Below are 21,545 nucleotides of genomic sequence, written 5' to 3' on the forward strand. Positions count from 1 at the left end.
GGCACTGCCCAGTGGAACTGTGAGTAGAAGGCCACCATCTTCCAGACCTCAAAATGGTAGATCCACTGACAGCATGCATCATGCACCTGGAAAAACCACAGGCACTCAACGACAGCCCATGAAATCATCTGTGGGGGGTAACCCTGCAGAGTGACAGGGGTGGAACTGCTCAAGACCTTGGGAGCCCACCCTTTGCATCAGTGTGCCCTGGAGACATGTAGTCAAAGGAGATTATTTTGGAGCTTTAAGATTTCATAACTGCCCTGCTGGGTTTTGGACTTGAATGGGGCCTATAGCCCTTTTGTTTTGGCCAAAGTCTCCCATTTGGAAAGGGAGCATTTACCCAATGCCTGTACCCCCATTATATTTTGGAAGTAACTAATTTGTTTTTGATTTTACAGGCTCATAGATGGAAGGGACTTGCCTTGTCTCAGATGAGATTGTGGACATGGACGTTTGAGTTAATGCTGGAAGGAGTTAAGACTTTGAGGGACTGTTGGCATGATTGATTTTGAAATGTGAGAAGGACATGAGATTTGGGAGGGTTCAGGGGTGGAATGACATGGTTTGGCTCTGTGTCCCCACCCAAATCTCATATCAAATTGTAATCCCCACATATTGGGGGAGGAACCTGGTGGGAGGCAATTGGATCATGGGGGCAGTTTGCCTCATGCTGTTCTCATGATAGTGAGTGAGTTCTCATGAGATGATCTGGTGGTTTAAATGTGTTTGGCAGTTCCCCCCTCACTCTCTTTTTCCTGACACCATGTGAAGAAGGTCCTTGCTTCCCCTTCACCTTCTGCCATGATTGTAAGTTTCCTGAGGCCTCCCAGTCATGCTTCCTGTTAATCTTGTGAAATTGTGAGTCAATTAAACCTCTTTTCTTCACCAATTACTGAGTCTCAGGTAGTCCTTTATAGCAGTTTGGGAACAGACTAATACAAACGAGTTTAGTTTCTGACATTTTTTAGTTGCAAATTATACCTGTTTGTTGTGGTGAAACAATTTTATTATTATAGCACAATCTTCAGCTTTAATTCTATGCTCACTTTTTTTGTGGACTCCTGTAAATTGATTAGGTTCTTTTTCCCAATGTTGGATCAGTTTTGACAATGAGAGTAATGCTGTATCATCCAACTTTATGTTGCTCAAGAACAAATTACCACGGCAAGATGAGAGACTGTGGCCAGATTGCAAACTATAAACACCAAGGGTTCAAGCCACAGAATTTTGCCTTGCTGTACTGAGTTATTCTAACACTAACATCCAAAGCAGGAAGTACTCCTTGGAAAGTGAGACTCCAGATGTGGGTGAAGGGCAGGGAGACCAAGCATCCAGCATCTGTTTCTTGGTGTTCAATCTTGAGAATTCTTGTCTACTGGGGAGGCCAAAGTTTGGAAAGGGACATACAGCATGGTCTTCATGAAGCAAATGTTTATGAGAAATGACTATGAATCTGGTCCCATGCTAGGCACCAGTTATACAGTGTTGAATTAAATATTTTGTTGTCATGGATATTGCGGGAAGTCAGGGACCCCAAATGGAGGGACCGGCTGAAGCCATGGCAGAAGAATGTGGATTGTGAAGATTTCATGGACATTTATTAGTTCCCCAAATTAATACTTTTATAATTTCTTATGCCTGTCTTTACTACAATCTCTAAACATACATTGTAAAGATTTCATGGGCACTTATCACTTCCCCAATCAATACTCTTGTGATTTCCCATGCCTGTCTTTACTTTAATCTCTTAATCTTGTCAGCTGAGGAGGATGTATATCGCCTCAGGACCCTGTAATAATTGCATTAACTGCACAAATTGTACAGCACGTGTGTTTGAGCAATATGAAATGTGGGCACCTTGAAAAAAGAACAGGATAAGAGCAATTGTTCAGGGAATAAGAGAGGTAACCTTAAACTCTGACTGCCGGTGAGCTGGGCAGAACAGAGCCATATTTCTCTTCTTTCAAAAGCAAATGGGAGAAATATCACTGAATTCTTTTTCTCAGCATGGAACATCCCTGGGAAAGAGAATACATGCCTGGAGATATAGGCTTATAAACAGCTCCCCCAGGTGCATCTGTCTCTTATGGTCGAGACTGCAGGGGTGAAATAGACCCCAGTCTCCCATAGCACTCCCAGGCTTATTAGGAAGAGGAAATTCCCACCTAATAAATTTTGGTCAGACCAGTTGATCTCAAAACACTGTCTCCTGATAAGATGTTATCAATGACAATGGTGCCCGAAACTTCATTAGCAATTTTAATTTCACCTCCATCCTGTGGTCCTGTGATCTCGCCCTGCCTCCACTTGCCTTGTGATATTCTATTACCTTGTAAAGTACTTGATGTCTGTGACCCACACCTATTCACACACTCCCTCTCCTTTTGAAAATCCCTGATAAAAACTTGCTGGTTTTTGTGGCTTGTGGGGCATCACGGAACGTACTGACATGTGATGTCTCCCCCGGACACCCAGCTTTAAAATTTCTCTCTTTTGTACTCTGTCCCTTTATTTCTCAAGCTGGCTGACACTTAAGGAAAATAGAAAAGAACCTACATGACTATCTGGGCAGGTTCCCCGATAAAGGAGCTTACATCCTATTGTGTGTTGGGAAAGGGGAGCAGTAGAGGAGCAGGTAAATAAATATGCACTCCATTACAGATTGAAAACTGAAATAGGGTTAACTAATAGATTCTGGGATTGACAGCAATTAGGAAAATAAGTTAATTAGTTTGGTGATCAGAGAAGATTTACTTGAGGATCTGAGACTTAAAGCATTCCAATGAGGCCACCAATGGCAGTTAGACCTTCTGGCATTGGAGATTTTGTATATTCAAGCATGTGCTGATGCTTTAATGCAAGAAGGAGCTGGGCTTGTTCTAGGAGCTAGAAGAAAATGGAAAGGAAGCCCAGTGAGACCTTCATGAACATCAGACAGAGATGGGGTTGTGAGGTAGGGTTAGAGAGTTAGACAGGGCCATGCTGTACAGGATCCTGTAGATCAGGGAAAAGAGTTTGGCTTCTGATATGAGTGGAAACCAAAGGTATTTAATGTTTTTAATCAGGAGAATGACAAGTGAAGTGATCATTGATGAGTTTCTAAAAGATCATTCCGGCCTCTGCATAGAGAGGAGGTTGGAGGCAAGCAAGAATAAAACCAGGGAGGTGGTGGACCCCAGAAATAGTGTGTTAGCAGTAAAAGTGATAAGAAATGGATGCATTTAAAATAAACATTGCATGTAAATCAACAGGACTTACTGATGAATTGAATGTGGGATGATGAAAAATGAGAAGTCAAGGTCAATGGCTAGAATATTGATTTGAGTAAGAGAATATTTGGTAGTGCCATTTATCGTTTAGTAGCTACATGCTTTAGCTTAAAAGTCCAAATCATTTCCATGTGAGAGTTTTTGCTTTGGATCTTAGAAGCTGCCTCATTCTAATAAATGTCTTTGGCTTTTACTCTCACACCTCATAATATCTTAACTGGCTAATTTTACACTTTAAAGCGTTTTGCCCATTTTGTTTCATTTTTACAATGTTTCCAAGGCTCTCTTTATCTTAACTTTTAAGTTTTCTGTGACTCTGGTTATAATACATTATTCACTAACATCTTTTTCCTAGTTTTTATTTGCTTAGTTTTATCTAGTTTTCATTGATTATATTAAATTTCTTTTCATTCTTGGAATAAAAACTTTTTAACGTTTTAGTTTTTGCTTCTTTAAGTACATTTTAATTTCTCTTCATTTTTTCATCTTTTTAGTATTTAGTATGTTAATTTTTATCTATGACTGTGTTTTACCTCAGTAAGTGGCTAGCAAGATAAATAGTCATTGCATGGATAGGTTTTCTATTAGCCCATCTTCTAAACAAGAGGACGGTATATTTACTTTCTGGATGGTCCCAATACAGACCTGCCTATGTCTTTTAACAAACAACCTGTAATTTGCTCCTGTGTTTCATGAGAAGGGAAATAGGAGATGCACAGGTCAGAAGTTCTTTATAGCACAAGTTTGCCTTTACAAGTGGCACAAGCAAAATCCTGGAAGTGTCTATGAGGCACAAGATCTATGACCAGATTTAAAATCTGTGTTCTTAACATATCTTCCATCAGTGTGCATTTGACAAATTTAATATATTACTATCATAGTGTGTGATTATAATACTAGTAAAAGTAATTTATTAAGCATTTACTATGTTTTATATTGGACTGTGGTTTGACATTATTAGTATCAGGCTTATTCTCATAGTATCCCTAAGAGGTAGATATAATTTTAAATATTCTTATAAGTAAATAAAGTGAAATTGAATGAAGAAAAGCATGATCCTAGATGTGAATTCTGACCCTGCCAACTGTTAGTTGTGTGATTTTGAACAATATTCCTGTAACACTTGTACTTTTATATTTTTGTGTTTGTTTCCCTATTTTTAAGACTTAAAATTTTAAAAGACAACTTGCAGGGATGCAGTGAAGATTAAATAAATAATGCTTGAAGAGCATCTTATTAAATTATTAGAGCTTTCTCTTTAGAGTCTGTTACTTTGTCATTGCGCAACCTTCCTTCTCCTGCACCTCTTATGACATTTTCCTGGCATTGTCCTATCCATGGAAATATCAAAGGTCCTCAAAAGATCAATCACAGCAACCTTGTATGTTTCAGAAAATCTCAAGCTTGCCTTCTTTGGAGGCCACAGAGGCCAAGGCAAAGATTATGAAGGAATACCAGGCTTTGTTCTTAATCCAGATTTAGAGACCTGGGTTTATTAATCCTCCATGGATAATTAACTCCTTGATTTGCCTCTCCAAACCAGACACAGTTCTGGCAGGTAGAATCCCTGGAGAAATAGAGAAAAAGAGTCTAGAATTATGTACAGGGAATCTTTCTAGACAAGGTTATTATTGCCACCCTGTTTCACTTCTTTTCATAAACATTGTAGTTAATATAAATTTTTAAATTTTGGGTATAAGAGTTCATGCTGTCCTCCAACTCTCTCTACTGTCATCCTCATCCTATCTCTATCTACTTGTATTTAAATCTGTATGTATACATATATCTACACATAGATCTATATGTATTAGTCCATTAGGGCTGCTATAAAAAATGCCATAAACTGGTTGGCTTACAAACAACAGAAATTCATTTCTGTCAATTGTGAGACTGGGGAGTCCAAGATCAAGGTACTGGAAGACTTGGTGTCTAGTGAGAGCCCAATTCCTGGTTCATAGATGGCCATCTTTTTCCTGTGTCATCACATGGTAGAAGGCACAAAGCAGCTCTCTGGGTCCTCTTTTATAAGGGCATTAATCCTATTCCTCAGGGCTCTGCCTTCATAACCTAATCACCCCCCCAAATACTCCACCTACTATAGTGTCACATTAAGGGTTAGGATTTGAACATATGACTTTTGCTGTAGACATTCATTCTACAGCAATACATTTCTCTATATATATTTTCTATATATCTATCTATGTATCTATGTGCCTATATATCATCCATATGAATCATAAGCTAGTGATTCAAACAAGTTATGCATTTATTTGTCTTTCAAATAAATCTGGGTTGGGAGAATGCAGGGGTATACATTTCTCTGCTTCAGGAGTGACTCTTCTATATTGTTGTACCTCCCTTTAGGTTGAACTCTCACTTCATGGTTAAAAATAGTTCAACTCCATCACATATTTTCTGGAAGGGAAAAAGAGGAAGTGAGCAGCTTGCTTTTAAGAGTATCATGCCTGTAATCCCAGCACTTTGGGAGGCCAAGATGGGTGGATCACCTGAGGTCAGGACTTCGAGACCAGCTTGGCTAACATGGTGAAACCCTGCCTCTACTAAAAATACAAAAACTTAGCCAGATGTGGTGGTGAGTGCCTGTAATGCCAGCTACTCGGGAGGCTGAGGCAGGAGAATTGCTTGAACCTGGGAGGCAGAGGTTGCAGTGAGCCGAGATCGCACCATTGCACTCCAGCCTCGGTAACAAGAGAGAAACTCCATCTCAAAAAAAAAAAAAAAGAGTGTGGCCTGGAAGTTGTATGCATTACTTTTGCTGACATCTTACTTGCAAGGGCTTTATCACATGGCTATACCTAACCAAATGGGAGGCTGAGAAATATCACCTTTCGCTAAATGCTATGCCCAGATGAATTTTAGAGGATTCTCTAACTAAAAGAAAGAATGAAGAATGGATGGGGGTGGGGTGGGGATGGAGGTAATTACTATTCTCTCTTAATTATTAATAGCAGGAGGGTAGTTCCAATAAGAGATCACTTATTTAAAAAAGTGATTTTTAAGAGATCACGTAAAAAAGTGATCGCTTATTTAAAAAAGATTTAAAAAAGAAAGAAGTTGACAGTGTGATTTTTAAAAAAGCTCTTTGAAATAGGCTAAAAATTAGACTAGTATTACTTCCACTAGTCTTTTAAAAACAAGTTACTAAGGTGCTATGTGTGCCAGGCACTATGCTAAATACTCAACATATATTATCTCATTTATTTCTTACACTGCTACATGATAGAAATATTTTTCTCTTTGAAAAGTGAGGTTTTGAGGGGTTAAATATCTTTCACAAGCTCACACAGCTAATAAGTGGAGGAGACAGGATTTCATGTGGCTGAGCCCACGATGTCAAACCTGAATGTTGCAGCCTCCCAACACATCCTCTTACCTATCACTTTTCTTCCCTTCAGGACTACAGGAAGATTCTCATCAGCCTTATTCTCTTGTTTTGAAAACACATAATAAATAGACTCAAGCAGGGATCGACCACAAAAGAGTGAAATCATTTAATTTATTGTCGATCGTGCTGGTTAATTTCTGTTTTCCCTTCCAGGTCCGTTTTCTCCTTTTCCCTGGCCTACCTGGAGTCTCATGAAGGAGAACTTTATAGACTGAATCACACAAGGGCCTTTGCCCTTTGACTTCTAGTTGGATTTGGTCAGAGGGAAGCTGGAGCAGGATAGAGAGGTTGGGGGTATTGCCTCTGCTCCCTTCCTCCTGAGGCATAGTTTTGGCAGTTGTTGAGTACCTCTTAGTCCTCTTCCCAGAGCTACAGGTCTTGTTTGGTTCTGTAATACCGTACCTTCCCCATGACCCTTAGACCTAGGGGTGGTAAGAGCTTCTCATTGTTGACAGCTCCTGGGTGCTTCATCAAGCTTCTTTGTTTAACCTTGTTCACACTTCTATTGTGGGGCTCTTCGTTAAACAATTTTTAATAAAATTCTTTGGGTATGCACTCTGTTTTCTGCTAGGATCCTAAAAGATAAACCGGGTTATCATCATGAGTTTAAAATGAACAATTATTGAGCAACATATGACTTGTTAGTGCTGTAGTGCCTTATAAAAATGGGATGCCTGTTTCATTTCTTGCCCATAAGCTTCAGCACATTGTAGGGAGGTCTTTCTTGATGACAGCTGGGGATGATGTCTTTGATTCCTTGGTCATTTTACTAAGATAGTAGCATGAATAATAAAGGAATTTCTACTGAATGGATAAGCTGCAATGATGGATCTTCAGTAACCTGCTCATGCCTAAACATCCTTGGATCCCATCTGGAATGAGAGCCCATTCAAGTTGGAACTCCCTCCTGCGAATGGAATTTTAATTGACACTTTGATCAACTAATTATATTTCTCAATTATTCTCACTATGTGAATCTTCTTCAAATATTTTTCCTGCTGAGTGATTAAATATCCATTTCATCCCAGAAAAAAAAATTGACTCAATTTTCCTTAGCAGTTTGTTCACTAACTGTCCTCAGTCTTCTGACTCTTTAGAGAGCCTAGCTAGCATGCGGCTCTTTAGCATGAGAGATTTAGCTAGGCTGAAGAACACTTTATGTATTCTACAGTTTAGCTGTGGAATTTTATGACTGGAACATCCTCAAATTTCATGCTACCTTTTCATTTTAACAAGCCATAAAATTAGGTCTTTCTTCTCAATATCTTGTATAAGAAATAATCATATATTAAGCCCAACTACTCCATTCCCCTTGTTTTTTTCTATTACATTCTTTTTTACTTTATTATGACATTATCCAAAGACAATGTAAGACTTTTGTCAAACTCCATTAATCTTTCATTATTTGTTGACTCTGGACAGGAAATGTTTGTGTGCTTGACAATGATTCTTAGTTGCTCTTTGGGAATTTATTACTACTACTTCTAACTAACAACTACTAATTATTGAGTTCATATTATGTGTCATGCAACGTTCTAAATTCTTATATATTATCTCATGTAATCCTTACAACAACCCTATAAACATTATTATACCCATTTTACAAATGAGAAAATTGAGTCTTTAATAGTTGAAGTTATTTGTCCAAGTTAATGTGTAAACTGATGAGCTAAGATTTAATCCTGGATTTTATTATTATTTCTTTTTTAAAAAAAACCTTGGTGAGCTTAATCACTGCGTTCTAAAAATCAGTTTATCAATTGAACAAGCAAAAATCAAATAATCCCGTTAAAAATGTGCGAAAGACATGAACACACACTTCTCAAAAGAAGACATGCAAGCAGACAACAAACATGAAAAAATACTCAACATCACTAATTATCAGAGCACAATGAGATAACATCTCACAGTCAGAATGGCTGTTATAAGCAAAAAAAATAACAGACGCTAGTGAGGCTGCAGAGAAAAGGGAATGCTTGTATTACCATTGATGGGAAAGTAAATTATTTCAGCCAGTTTGGAGAGTTCTCAAAGAATTTAAAACAGATCTTCCATTTGGCCCAGTATTCCTATTATTGGGTATGTAGCAAAATAAAAACAAATCATTCTACCAAAAAGACACATGCACTTGTATGTTCATTACAGCACTATTCACAATAGCAAAAACATGAAATCAACATAGATGTCCATCAGCAGCCATGAAAAAGCATAACTCAGCTCTAAAGAAGAAAATCATGTCCCTTCTTAGCAACATAGATGCTGCTGAGGGCCATTATCATAAGTGAATTAATGCAGGAACAGAAAATCAAATATTGCATGTTCTCATTTATAAGGGGGAGCTAAACTTTGGGTACTCATGGACATAAAGATGGCAACAATAGACAACTGGGGCCTATTAGAGTGGGGAGGGATGGAGGGGAGCAAGGGTTGAAAAACTATTGGTTGTCATGCTCTCTACCTGGGTGGTGTGATCAGTTATACCCCAAACTTCAGCATCATGCATTATACCCAGGTAACAAACCTGCACATGTACCCCTGAATCGAAAATACAAGTTTAAATTACAAAAAAAGTAAAAAATAAAAATGAAAATCAGTTTATGCAAAGAGAATCTGGGGAAGCAGACAACAATCTTAATCTTTTAAATAGAACAGTCTTCTGGTTTTATCTAGATCAACTCCCAACACTACCTGTTTTCTAGCCTAGTGACTTGATATTACTTTTATATAATTTGATATTAATTCCGAAGGAATGGGAGAGATGGCTTTCTGCCATAGAGAAGCAAATAATACACCCTTGCGAACATCTAGTTTGATAATATGGCTTTATTATAAAAAATCAGGATTGGCCTCTATGGGAAATTGTTCTTTACAATTATGCTGAAAGAAGTGGCTCAGCACTAATTATATAAAACTAAAATCACTGTCTTTGGCAGGCATTTTCTGACACCCAAAGGTCTGTATTACATAATTGCAAAAAAAAAAAAAAAAAGTCAACTAGTTTAGCTAATTTTGCAGTTAATTCTTCCTGCCAGGGATACAGAAAAACCACGCTCTTTAGGATGAGATTATCCACAGGAGCCTTTACTGCATTTTTAAAGACACTGGTGGGATATTGTTACACCTGCCTTGAACATTTTCCAGGCCTAAGTGTTTGGCACAGAACTCCAGGGACTCAATGGGGTCTGGTCATGCACTGGAAAAGATCCAGAGCTGATTTCTGAAATAAATTCTTTTTTGGTGGGGCTCAGGTGGCCCATCTCCAAGCAGAGTTGATGAAACCTCCCATTTTTGATGGGCATGGTAGTCACAGCAACAAACATTTACGGAGCACATCTTTTGGCAGGCATCATGCTAGGTGCGGGTCGAACTCCTTCAATGCCAGCCCTGCCATCTGCTCTCCTGATTACATAGCAGAAGGATCCTTTATCAGCCAGTACTAAAGAGTCTTATGCTCCTGGTCCTCATCAGAGAGTGCAGCCTCCAGTGGTTTGCTCTTCAGTTCCCATTAAATGCCCAGCTGAGAGAAGCGATAGAAGTCATTTATATAGTATTCATCCTTCTCAATCCTCTATGTATCTGGCCTTTTACTGTCACATCACATCAGCTTGGTCCCTACCACTTTACAAAGGTGCATTTTGATGTGCCTTGGCTTGTTTTTCTATTTGAAATCATCAATCACTAAAAGAAACACCCACTTGGAATTGAATGCTGTGTTTACTCCAAAAACTGAATAAGTTAATACAGCAAATACTTATTGATTGATTATCTATGGTGCACTACACAAAATGCTGTGTGCCCGAAGAAGTCATAGCCCCTGAAATCACCACTGGACTTGCTGTGCAGTGGAGCAAAATGTGATCTGAGAGCACAAAGAAGGAATTGACTGATTTTGTCTGGGAAAATAAAGAAAGCTTTATTGAGCAGGTGACATTTAAATTGGGTTTGAAAGGATGCATACGAGTTTCCCAAGAGGTGGTGGAAGAAAGATAGAAGAAATATCAGGAAAAAAATGGAGCATGTGTAAAGGCATAAAATCTCATGCAAGGACCTAGGATGTCCAGGAGAAGGAGAGAAATTCAGGGTATGAGAAGCTTATTATATCAAAAGACAGGGCTAAGAATATTGGTGCAATCAAATAGTGAAGACACTTGTAGGCCATGCTAAAAAGAGTTTGGGTTTTACCCTAATCACTAGAAGATACTCTAACAAGTAGTATGAGGTAAACAATAATATTTATTTATCTTTACAGAAGATAAATAAATGGCAGGGAAGCAGTTAAGTGAGAGGGAAAAGGAGCCTGGTTTAAGTTAGAAGAAGGGATAAAAACTGGTAGTGGTTGGATGTAGGAGCCATTTCTGTAATAACATTTATTTGAAAACAATATTTTTATGGTTACCAAAAAAGCAAGAATACTATTTATTATGTCAACCAGTCCATCCAAAGTTTTATGCAAGATATTGTTATATTGTTTAGACTACTGTGCTTAGAAAACTGTTTCATCTAAAAAGCTAACTCAGAATCAAATTTAAGGCTCACCCATAGCTACCATTTTGAGATTTATTTAGAGTATTTCCTATAAATTTCCATTAAATTTCTATTTTATTATACTATGTTATAGATCTTTTATTGCAAGCTACTTTCTTAGTAAGATGAGGTGGTTTATGACTAAATATAAATTAAAATAAATAAAACTATATATTATATATGTATATATGTGCATTCACATATAAATATATGTGTATATATACATTAAAATTTATATTTCTTTTTGGTTAATGTGAACTTTATTTTTAGTCCTTCTGGGCTCCTCAGAAATGTTTAAGTTAATAGTTTCAAATGTTGATGTCCCATGTGGAATTCCAGACCCTGGATATCCGTACACAGATAGCTAAAATCTGTGTGGCTTTAAAAATTTTGAGAAAAACTACTTAAATGTTTGATTGTTTTCTTTTTTGATAATAGTGTTTAGAAACTCTTGACTTAGCAATTCTTCCCTAAGACCTAACAGAGTATGCTAAATACAAGCTGATTTATATCACTTTATTGTTTTCTTTAGCTTATTGTGTAAAATAGATTGCTTATGCCATGGCATGCTGTCTCACCTATGTTCCTTCCAGGGCATCAACCCAAACTGCTATGCAGAGACTCTGCTAGGATGTTTTATTGAACATAGCTTTTCTTCTGATCTTGAATGGAGGGAAATGGTGACTACGAAAGGACATGTACATATAATAATATTTGGTAGCATTATTGTCCCTATTAGTTGCCCTCCCTCATTCTCTCTGTGTGCTTGGTCAACTGCTATTCTTGCTAAAGATAAAAACTTAATGATTGTTTTGTGGAGACAGCCTTCTCCTTTAACGAAAAATTTTTAACCAAAAATTTTATTAAATTTGCCTTACTACTTGTGTTCTTAGCATCTTGTAGCATGCCCCTTTTGTACTATTTTCAACAATTATAAATAAGTTTACATTTATTTGTGTAATCTTTTGTGTAAAGTCTGTCTCCCCCAAAAGTACATTTCCTCAGTAACGGGAAGCAGTTGTGTGTTTGTGTGTGTGTGTGTGTGTGTGTGCATGTGTGGCTTTTTTGCTTATTGTATAGCTTTAACACAGCACAGTGCCTAATCCCTAATGGAGACTCAAAATAATGTTGAATGAATGGATAAATGCATGAATGAGTACGGTAGCACACTTACACATTCATAGGTCATGTGGTAAGTGTTTTTCTGGCAATCTTAGTTGGCAGAGGCCTGATTTCTTTTCCTACCTTTTTTTATTCCTCGAAATGTGTATTTCTTCCTTGGTGATTCATAGATAAGGAAAAATTAAATAGATTACCTTATCTTCGTCTGTGAAGTTTGTTACATAAATGTAAAGCCAAGTGTCTTGTTCACATGTTACAGCTCACTGCTCTGAATTTTAAGTTGTAAAGTGTTTGAGCAAGGTAGAGTTTTTTCATGTATTGAAGGGTAATGAGATAGATTCTTTCCTGGCATATGCAATTATTCTAAATAACTGAATAAGATGCAATGCTGAGATTTATAAAGAAAGAACTTGGACATTTCATAGCTTCTCTGGCATGTTCATTCTGGGCGTGGAGTCACTGCAGTGAAAGCCTTCAATTCACTTGAGCTTCTTGGGCACCTAGTCAACAGTGAGTTCAAACCACAGTCTCTCATATACCCCAGACTAGGAGTTCTCTGTACCATTTTTCAATAATACAATTGTGCTGTATCAGTGAGCAGGCAGCTTGCAGGGTGCAATGGAAAGAGTATAGGTTTTGGAGTCAGCTCAACCTGAATTCAAGATCAACCCAAGCCTTGTACTGATTAACAGAAAGACTCTGGGCATGCTCTTTATTCTCTTTAAACTTTAGTTTTTTTATTTAAAAAACTGAGATAGTTCCTTTCTTAAAAAATGCTTACTTCGCACCAATGCTTAGAAGAGTTCATGTTTGTAAAGCACTTAACACATTACTATTATCATTATTTTCAGGATTATATTAATTTTAAGAAAAAATCGATTCTGAACCAATTAAAAATATGGAAGAAATATTTCCATAGGTGTCGTGGAGGTCTTGATAAACTATGCCAAGTAATAGAGTAAATAATTTCCACTAGCATAGAATTGAATGGTGGAGTGTATGTAAAAACAAACTTATGTCTGACATTCTTAGCCAAATACCAACCAGGAAAAGATAATTTCCTAAGAATGTCAATGTGTAAGGAAATACACTCTCTTTTGTGGACACAGAGGTTTCTTTATAGATCAAGTAATAATTAGAATGTCTTTGATAAGAAAAAGTGTGGCAATGAGACCTTTGGAATATGCAAATGCAGGGAAAGCAGGGCAGATTGAGATTTACCCCGATAAATGCTCCAAACCTCAGCATGGGAGTGATCTGTAATATTTCCCTGAAATGTGCCAAGTAGGCTAAAATCTCTATTCTGCTATTGCTGCTGCTGCAGTTAGGATGAGAGAAGGCGATCATTTGATTTCCTTGTCCCCTGTAGGATCTTGCTGTTAGGCTTGGTAATGACAGGGTCAAGTGGAGGGCAGAGACATGGGACCCAGTAGGGAACAGGAGGCTTTGACTACTGTCAATGCTCAGCATGTGGCATGGGGACCAAAGGCCTGGTTCCAAGGGAAAGACCTGAGGGCAGGGCAGGTAGGGTTGTGGAGGCTGTGTTGAGTAGCAGTGGCTGGGTGAGGGAAGTAGGTATTCAGCTGCCTGTCCTCTGTTATGGAGCAGCTTTTTTCCAACCTTAAGCACTCATTACACCACCTGTATACTAGACACCCAGGTGTCTTGAAAATCAGTGACCATTATGCCTTTAAGTACTTTGCTTAACGTAAGCAAAGCCTGCATTTCTACTGCAATGTGGAATCTTCTCCCGTGGTAGTAATGCTGCAAGAGTTGTTTGTATTTAAGAATATTGAGACAGGTCCTTTCTTGGCATATGCGTTGTACTCTAAACAACTGACTAAGACACAATGCTATCATAAGAAAAGAGCCAGGTAGGAGATGTGTGATAGCTTTTCTGGTACATTCATTTTGTTTGGAGTCATTGTGGGGAATTTTCTTTCATTTGAGAAAAATGGGGGCATATATTCTCTTTACTGCTTTAGTTCATGTATCAAATTCCCCAGAGTTCTTTCCCATTTTAACTTAGCTATCTCTTAAAAGAAATAGAATATAGCAAAAGTAAAATGTTACCAGTTATTACTACATTTAGGCTTTAATGTGTTGTCATGGTGCTTTCATTACCTTTGTTCTTACTTTAGAGGTTTCACGTCTGTATTCCTGGCCCAACTACCAATAAATGAAGAGATATAACTTGCCTCAGAGAGCAATATATATTCTCTGTAGCCCTGTGCGTTCGTTCATATTGCTTTTGAATGTATCAGTTTGACATTTTTTATGGTGATTATGATGACATAGGTTATACAAGATAGACTGAAATAAAATGGAACCAAGAAGTAAATACTCCTATACTATAGGACTGTTTAACCTATTTTAGAAACCTCATCCAGTCTTTGAGGTCCAGATCAAATGCCACCAACCTCAGAAAGCCTTCTCTACTCTCATAAAGTACAGTTTTCCTCCTCTTGTGATTTCCTAGCCTATCTTTGTTTATTCATTATTCATTTGGCACTTATTTTTCATTCTACCCTGTGGGTTAGTTTTTTGTGCATTTACAAAAAAATACACTTTTACATAAATGTATATAGTAACCTCCATAAGAACTAGAACGTTTTTATTTTTTAAATGAGTCCTGCTTGGCACCCTGCTTAGCACAAGTAGGAATAAAAAATGTTTAGTGTGGGATTATATTTCTCCCTGTCTTGTTCACAGATCAAAAATTGATCCAATACCTATTCTGAGCCAGCAACTGTGCTGAACGCCTAGGACACAGTGACAACAAGGCAGACATGGTCTCCGTCTTTGATTAAAAATAATTACTCCAGTTTTTCCTTCTTCCTTCTCTATGGTTTTATGTTGGGAAGTAGAGTGGTAGAATGGGAAGCAGCTGGACAGGAGAGAAAAATGGAGTAGTTCGAAGAAACACACATTGTCCCCTTTCTCACTTTCATAGTAATGTTTTAGAAGTTAAAAGCATCAGCTCTGGAGTGCATGCCCTACCTGTGTTTAAATTTTCTCTCTGTGTCTTCTCTGGGTGGCCTTGGAATTGTTATTTAATCTCACTGAGGCTCAATATCTGCAAATAATAGAGTCTGCTACGGCAAAGGAGATGATATTTATGCCAAACTCAAAATATCTGCTTAAGTAGTGTTGGTAGTCATTATCATTATTGTTGCTGTTAGCTGCTGCTATCTTTACATGCATGGCTGTTAAGGAGGGCCATGTCTAGTACTGCTTGGAGTAAGGTAGAGATAACCGAGGGTGGGAATTTGCTCCAAGGATTCCTTTCCCAGATGGTAGACTGGCTCCAGGCTCCCTAAACAATCCTGAAGAGTATGCTGGCCCTTTCTGTATTTGGACTTAAACCTAACTGTTGTGGGTTTCCTGGAGCTTGCCTCCTGCTGGCAGCCCTCCTCTTACCTGAGGTAAGACTTACTAGATGGAAGAGTATGTGGCAGTAAGGAAAAATGTCTTCTTCTCTTTGGCATCCTAGTTGTACATTTACTCAGCTCCAAAGGGAAGAACTGTGCTCAGTATTTTGTGGGTTAAGCTTTCCTTGTTAGAACTTTATTTTCTCAAATACTAACAAAAATGGATTTTTCTCCCTACTCTCTCTCGTTAATAGGGTGCTGAGAAAATTTTGTCAATGAATGAATCAGGAGAACTGCAAGACATCCTAACCAAAATTGAGGTAAATGTGCTTTCAGCAACTTAGTTTTAGTAATCAAAATATTAAACACATTCTGATTATAATTGAGTTTTCCTAATTGAATTCTCTCTCCCCATGTTCTTACAAATATGCAATAGGATACATGTGGCAGTTTTAATTTGATATCTTCTGTTATTAGGTTTGTTGCAGCTAGAGTGACTTTAATGTTAACTTCTAATGATCTCATACTATTAGGTGAGTGTTATGGTCAGCTTTATTTGATCCCAACTCTCTGTAATACAGACGTTGATGAGGTGTTTCAAGTCAGGAAATGGTCTTGATGCACATTAAAATTTTTCATTGAAACAACTTTATTTTTCCCATGGATCTTCCTACATATAGAAGAGCTTACTACATCATTTATAAAGATTAAAGAAAAACTTGTGTCTCCAAAAAGCACATTTTAATTTGTATTCCTGTGCTTATACATATAGCATCAGAGAAATACTTATTCAAATACTTATAAAATTAACATGCAACCGGAAAGCCCTTATTACCTCACTGCTAAATTATTTTATCAGATTGTTTCTCCCTATTTGTAAGAAGATTCTATATTTCATTGTCCTGAATGGGACACTTTGAGAGTAAAAAGTATGCGTTAGTAATTGTTCTGGGACAGCAAATGTGAAACAGGACTTTCCAGGAGAAATAGGTCATATGGTTATCCAGTATCTATATGTCACTACTGGTTATTATTGCTCTAGTCTTTGCTAACCTAATTTCTGATTCTCTACCATTCCTTCCACTCTAGATAAAAGAAAGGACTATGTGGCTTCTCATGCTTTCTTACTACTATCCCTTTGTGCAAGTTGTTCTGTCTGCCTAGAATGATATTGTTCCAATTCCTCATTTCCCTCCACCATTTTCAAGGCCCATCTTCAGTATCAGTTCTTCCAATATTCATTTCTGATCTCCCCTGCCTTTGAATTCCTATAACCCTCTTTTTAGGGGCCTTATAAAAGTCTTTTTTGTATTACCTTTCTTTTAGTATTTGACTCATGTCCCAAATGAACTAGATGCTCCTTGATTGAACGATTCATGTTTTATTCATATTGTGACCTTTCCCAGAAGGAAAACAATGGATTCATTCATTCAACAAACATTTATTAAGTATCTACTGTTTACAGGTACTTTGCTAAGGGAGACAACAATGTCCTCTCAATGTACTGCAGACCTATAGAAATAACTCAAAATCATTTTTTATCAGTTTTTGTCGTAATACAAACAATAGAGTATGTTTAGACATTGTGGTTCAATGAGGATGATGGGCAGAAATATAGTGCTTATACGGGAGGAGAATGCTTGGGCTTTAGCAAAATAATTTACTATGGTCTGATTCTAAATTCAAAAGCCATGCGATACATACAGAGAGTAAATTTGTTTTTGTAAAATGTTTTAAATCTCCTTTTTTCCATAATTTATAATTTCTGAAGTATTATGACTTGGAAATCAGAAGATTTTTAGCTCCTTCCTCAGCTCTGCTTCTGGCTGTGTGACTTTGGGCATAACCTTTCACCTGCCAGTATCTTGATTTCTTTATCTATTAAATCGGGGTGTGTACTTGCTCCTCTTAAAACTCCTCTTAGCTAAAAAAGCTGTATGAATGGATCTATTTATTTCTTTCTGTTCTCATATACTACCCCAATCCTGTGAAGTCATTCACTTACATTATTATATACCTTTTTATTTAAACAATTTGGTTTATGTGTATTATTCTCTGTACACACTTTAAACTAATTTAAATTGTATTATGCAGTATCATTGATCTATTTACTTCTTGTTGCATCAATATCATACTATTTTAATTCTATGGTTTAAGAGCATCTTTTAGGATCTTACAGGATGAATATCCTTAATTGCTTTTCTTTGTACAGATTGATGACTGATTTAGCTATTCTGAACTTTTATTCCATTGAGTCTGTAATTCTTCAATTCTACAACTTGATCAACAGTACCATGGTAGATAATCTCTCTCTCTCCATCAGCTCAAAAACTTTGGAAAAGAAGATGTTTTTCTCTTCATTAAGTCTGTCTCCATTCTACAGATGACATAAATAAGGCACAAATACTTTAAGTTATTTTTAATGTTCAAAATAATGGTATGGCATTGGCTTTCTACTGTTATAGGAACTCTGCGGTGCCATCACTATGTTCGGCTGCTTTGGGATATAGTAAAACTGGTGGAGAATTTGTAGTCAATCAAGAAAACCCAGAACTCTGCCTGAGAGGTAGCTGGAGTTTAAGAGGAAGTAAAGAGACCAGGTGAAATGAAGCACTGGGAGAGCCATGCAAAGAGGATAAGGGATACAAAATACAGATCCAAACCGATCCCACTTTTCTGGTTGGCTTTTGACAGTAGAGTAGGAGTTCAATTTTCATGATGCAGGAAACATTTCAGTCCTTACTATATAGCAAGATATATTCCCGGCATTTTATATGTATTAAATCATTGAAAGCTCACAACTCTGCTAAATGAGTTCTCTTATTATCCCCACTTTACTGGCAAGGGAATGGAGGTACAGAAAGACAAAATCACTTGCTCAAGAGTGTTTAGGTAGTCAGTATTTGATTTATGATTCTAATCAGTCTGACTCCAAACCCATGATGTTAATTAACTATGAACCTATGCTGCCATGACTCTCAAATTAAGTGGCATGTAGGTATCTAGGAAATCTGACTATACTGTGGCAGGACACAAAACCTGGGTTAGTAGTTTCCTAGGAGGTAAGCTAGTAAAGATGTTAGGTCCAGGGAATAGGCTGGGTTTTGACACAGGGCTCTAACACTAGACATATCCTGGCAAGTTCTAGTTTGCTGTTACTTGGGTTGCTACATGGTAGTTTATGACCACTCCTGGTCCTCATAATTCAGGTTCCAGTTTCTAGCAGTTATTTCAAGTGATGCTGAAGAGAGAGGCTTAGCAGCTGTGGTTGGGCCATCAGAAATGGAGTCAGAAAATAATTCCAAATTTTTTGTGCACCAAGAATCTTATCATATATCCCACCCAACTGAAAATTGCTGGGGAAGCTGAGTCGATCTGATTTGTTGATGAAGATTATTAGTGGCCTCAAACGTGAGGAGCTGGCCAAAGGCAGCAGAAGCTAGTAACACATGTGATAGCTTCTATGGAGATCTGGTCTCAGTAGAGTTGGTTGTACCAATGGGGACTGTGTTCCTGAAATGACAGTTTGCAGGTAATCTTCCCACTGAGATGTGAGCTCCATGTGAACACAGATGTTCATTTCTTTTTATTATTTACTTCTAGTGCCTAGAACAGGGATTGGGATATCCCAGGCATACATAAATATTTTCTGAGGGAATAAATAAATGACTTCTCTTTCATCCAAAGCTTTTTTGGAGGAGGCAAAGCATTCAAGAGATGAAAAGAAAGAGAAAATTATTATTTTATATAAAAGAATGTGTGGCTGAAAGGATGAATGAAACCACCATCTTTTTGGTAAATGATATTTATTTATGTTAATAAATAGGCTAAAAATGAGAAGCAACGAAGTGTCTAAGGAGTCCTCACAATACAATAACCAAGATGGATAGCTAATTCTGCTGGTGTCCATGCAGGGAGAGCCAGGGGAGTGCTGAGATATATTACCATACCACTGGTTCTGGCAGACACTGAATTAAAGATCTCAGATGGCAGAGAAGCTCCAAGTAAGCTTTGCCTTGTTATTTTTTTGAAGATATGAGTAAATAGTTTTGTTGCCATTTGTACTGAGATTGCCAACATAGTGTCCATTTTCTGTCCTTTTTTTTTTTTTTTTGGTAAAGCTTATAAAAATTACTTAATCTGATTCTCCCCTGAGGGCGGGTAACCACTTATTTGTTCATGAAGAACCGAGCAAAGATTCCCGGCTACACACTTAGTATGTCAAAAATGGCACAGACTGTCTGTGCAAGGTATTGGAGCTGTCAGAGACTGTCCTGAGGTTCCCTGGAGAAGTATAGCTCTGTATGATGGTCCTTCCTAGGGGAAAGGGGGTGGCCATAGCCTGTTCTGAGGCTACAGCCATAGAAACCACCTATAGATTCACCTGGGGAATCAGGCCATGTCATCTGCTTTCTCTGAAATAAAAACATCTATTTAAGTAGGTTTATGGCAGTTCATCCCATCTGGTTTAAGAATCAGGCTCCTATATCCAGGCTTATACATTTAGAATTATGAGCTACAAATTTCCCTTGTCTGCATTTTGTTCAGTGGCTTCTTTCTCAACTCTGCAAATTAAGGATGCCGGAAACACTGATGATCAGAAAAGATTCTATTTATTTTTTTAGCAGCTTGGTCAGGCAGAGGGGTGTTTAGTAGGCATTTAAGAGTTTGCTGAATTAAATTTTTGAATCTAGTTTAAAACAAAATACATAGACCAAGATGAATCATCCAGAGATGATTATAATGCCAAGCGTGTACTCTGACAATTTGTTTTATGGGTAATACTGCTTCATAGACAATCTGGATAATGAGGTGTATTGTCATAGAGGGTCAAATAAGTTGCTTCCTCTTTGATAGGATACTTAACGGACTTTCAAGCTCTATTGGAATAGGATTTGATGATCTGAGGTTAAAAATAATAAGAGCTTCATTTCCTGATCTCAAAGAAGACATGAAGACTCTTGATCTTAGCATCCTGTTTCTATATTGCATAACTGGGGGTAAACTTACATCTTGAAATTTGAAACTCAAATTTCCTTTGCTACAAAGGAAGTCTATTTCACAATCATTCATAAACTCTGCCATTATCTTTGTCGTTTGTCGTTTTTGTCCTTTGTTAGAGACACAATACATTTCGTGTGCTTTAGTTGAGATGACTGCAATATGGAGCAGACCTATCCAAGACTCAGGGGTGAGGCTGAGATGTACTACTAGGAAAGCAGAGAAGTGTCTGGTTTACTGCTATATTCCCATTGCCTTACACAGTGCCTGGCTAGTGAATACTCAATATATATTTGTGGAATGGAATGAATAAGTAAAAGGTCTCACTCACTGAGTATCTATCTTTTAAAACTCACTCACAGGAATAAATGAACAGAAAGAGGTAAAGTGGAGGGTGATTTCTCATTCTTTTTCTCTTGAGCTCCACTCCAAAGTGACTTGTCTCAACCCAAACCACTATTCAGAGGAGAGGAGACACAGTCTGTAGATTCAGTACTCTGTGTGCTATTCTCAACCAGGTCTGCCTGGATTCTTAATTGCTTGCAGGTCAACGTTTCCGCAGCAGTCAATCTCTTCATTGAAAGTGGAAGTCAGGGCCGGGCGCGGTGGCTCACGCCTGTAATCCCAGCACTTTGGGAGGCCAAGGCGGGCGGATCACCAGGGCAAGAGATCGAGACCATCCTGGCTAACACGGTGAAACCCCGTCTCTACTAAAAATACAAAAAATTAGCCGGGCAGGGTGGTGGGCGCCTGTAGTCCCAGCTACTCGGGAGGCTGAGGCAGGAGAATGGCGTGAACCAGGGAGGCAGAGCTTGCAGTGAGCTGAGATCGTGCCACTGCACTCCAGCC

General features: G+C 37.9%; 1 protein-coding gene across 1 annotated transcript in view; it reads left to right on the plus strand.

The window, feature by feature from the left end:
• The window catches only part of GRXCR1 (glutaredoxin and cysteine rich domain containing 1), a 137,946-nt gene that overhangs the window by 111,692 nt on the left and 4,709 nt on the right, over nucleotides 1-21,545 (plus strand). Inside the window, exon 3 of the mRNA NM_001080476.3 lies at nucleotides 15,950-16,015. Within this exon, the coding sequence (NP_001073945.1) occupies nucleotides 15,950-16,015 (66 nt within the window). The remainder of the gene's footprint in view (nucleotides 1-15,949; nucleotides 16,016-21,545) is intronic.

The sequence above is a fragment of the Homo sapiens genome, chromosome 4 (genome assembly GCF_000001405.40).
Source record: "Homo sapiens chromosome 4, GRCh38.p14 Primary Assembly".
NCBI classification, from domain to species: Eukaryota; Metazoa; Chordata; class Mammalia; order Primates; family Hominidae; genus Homo; species Homo sapiens.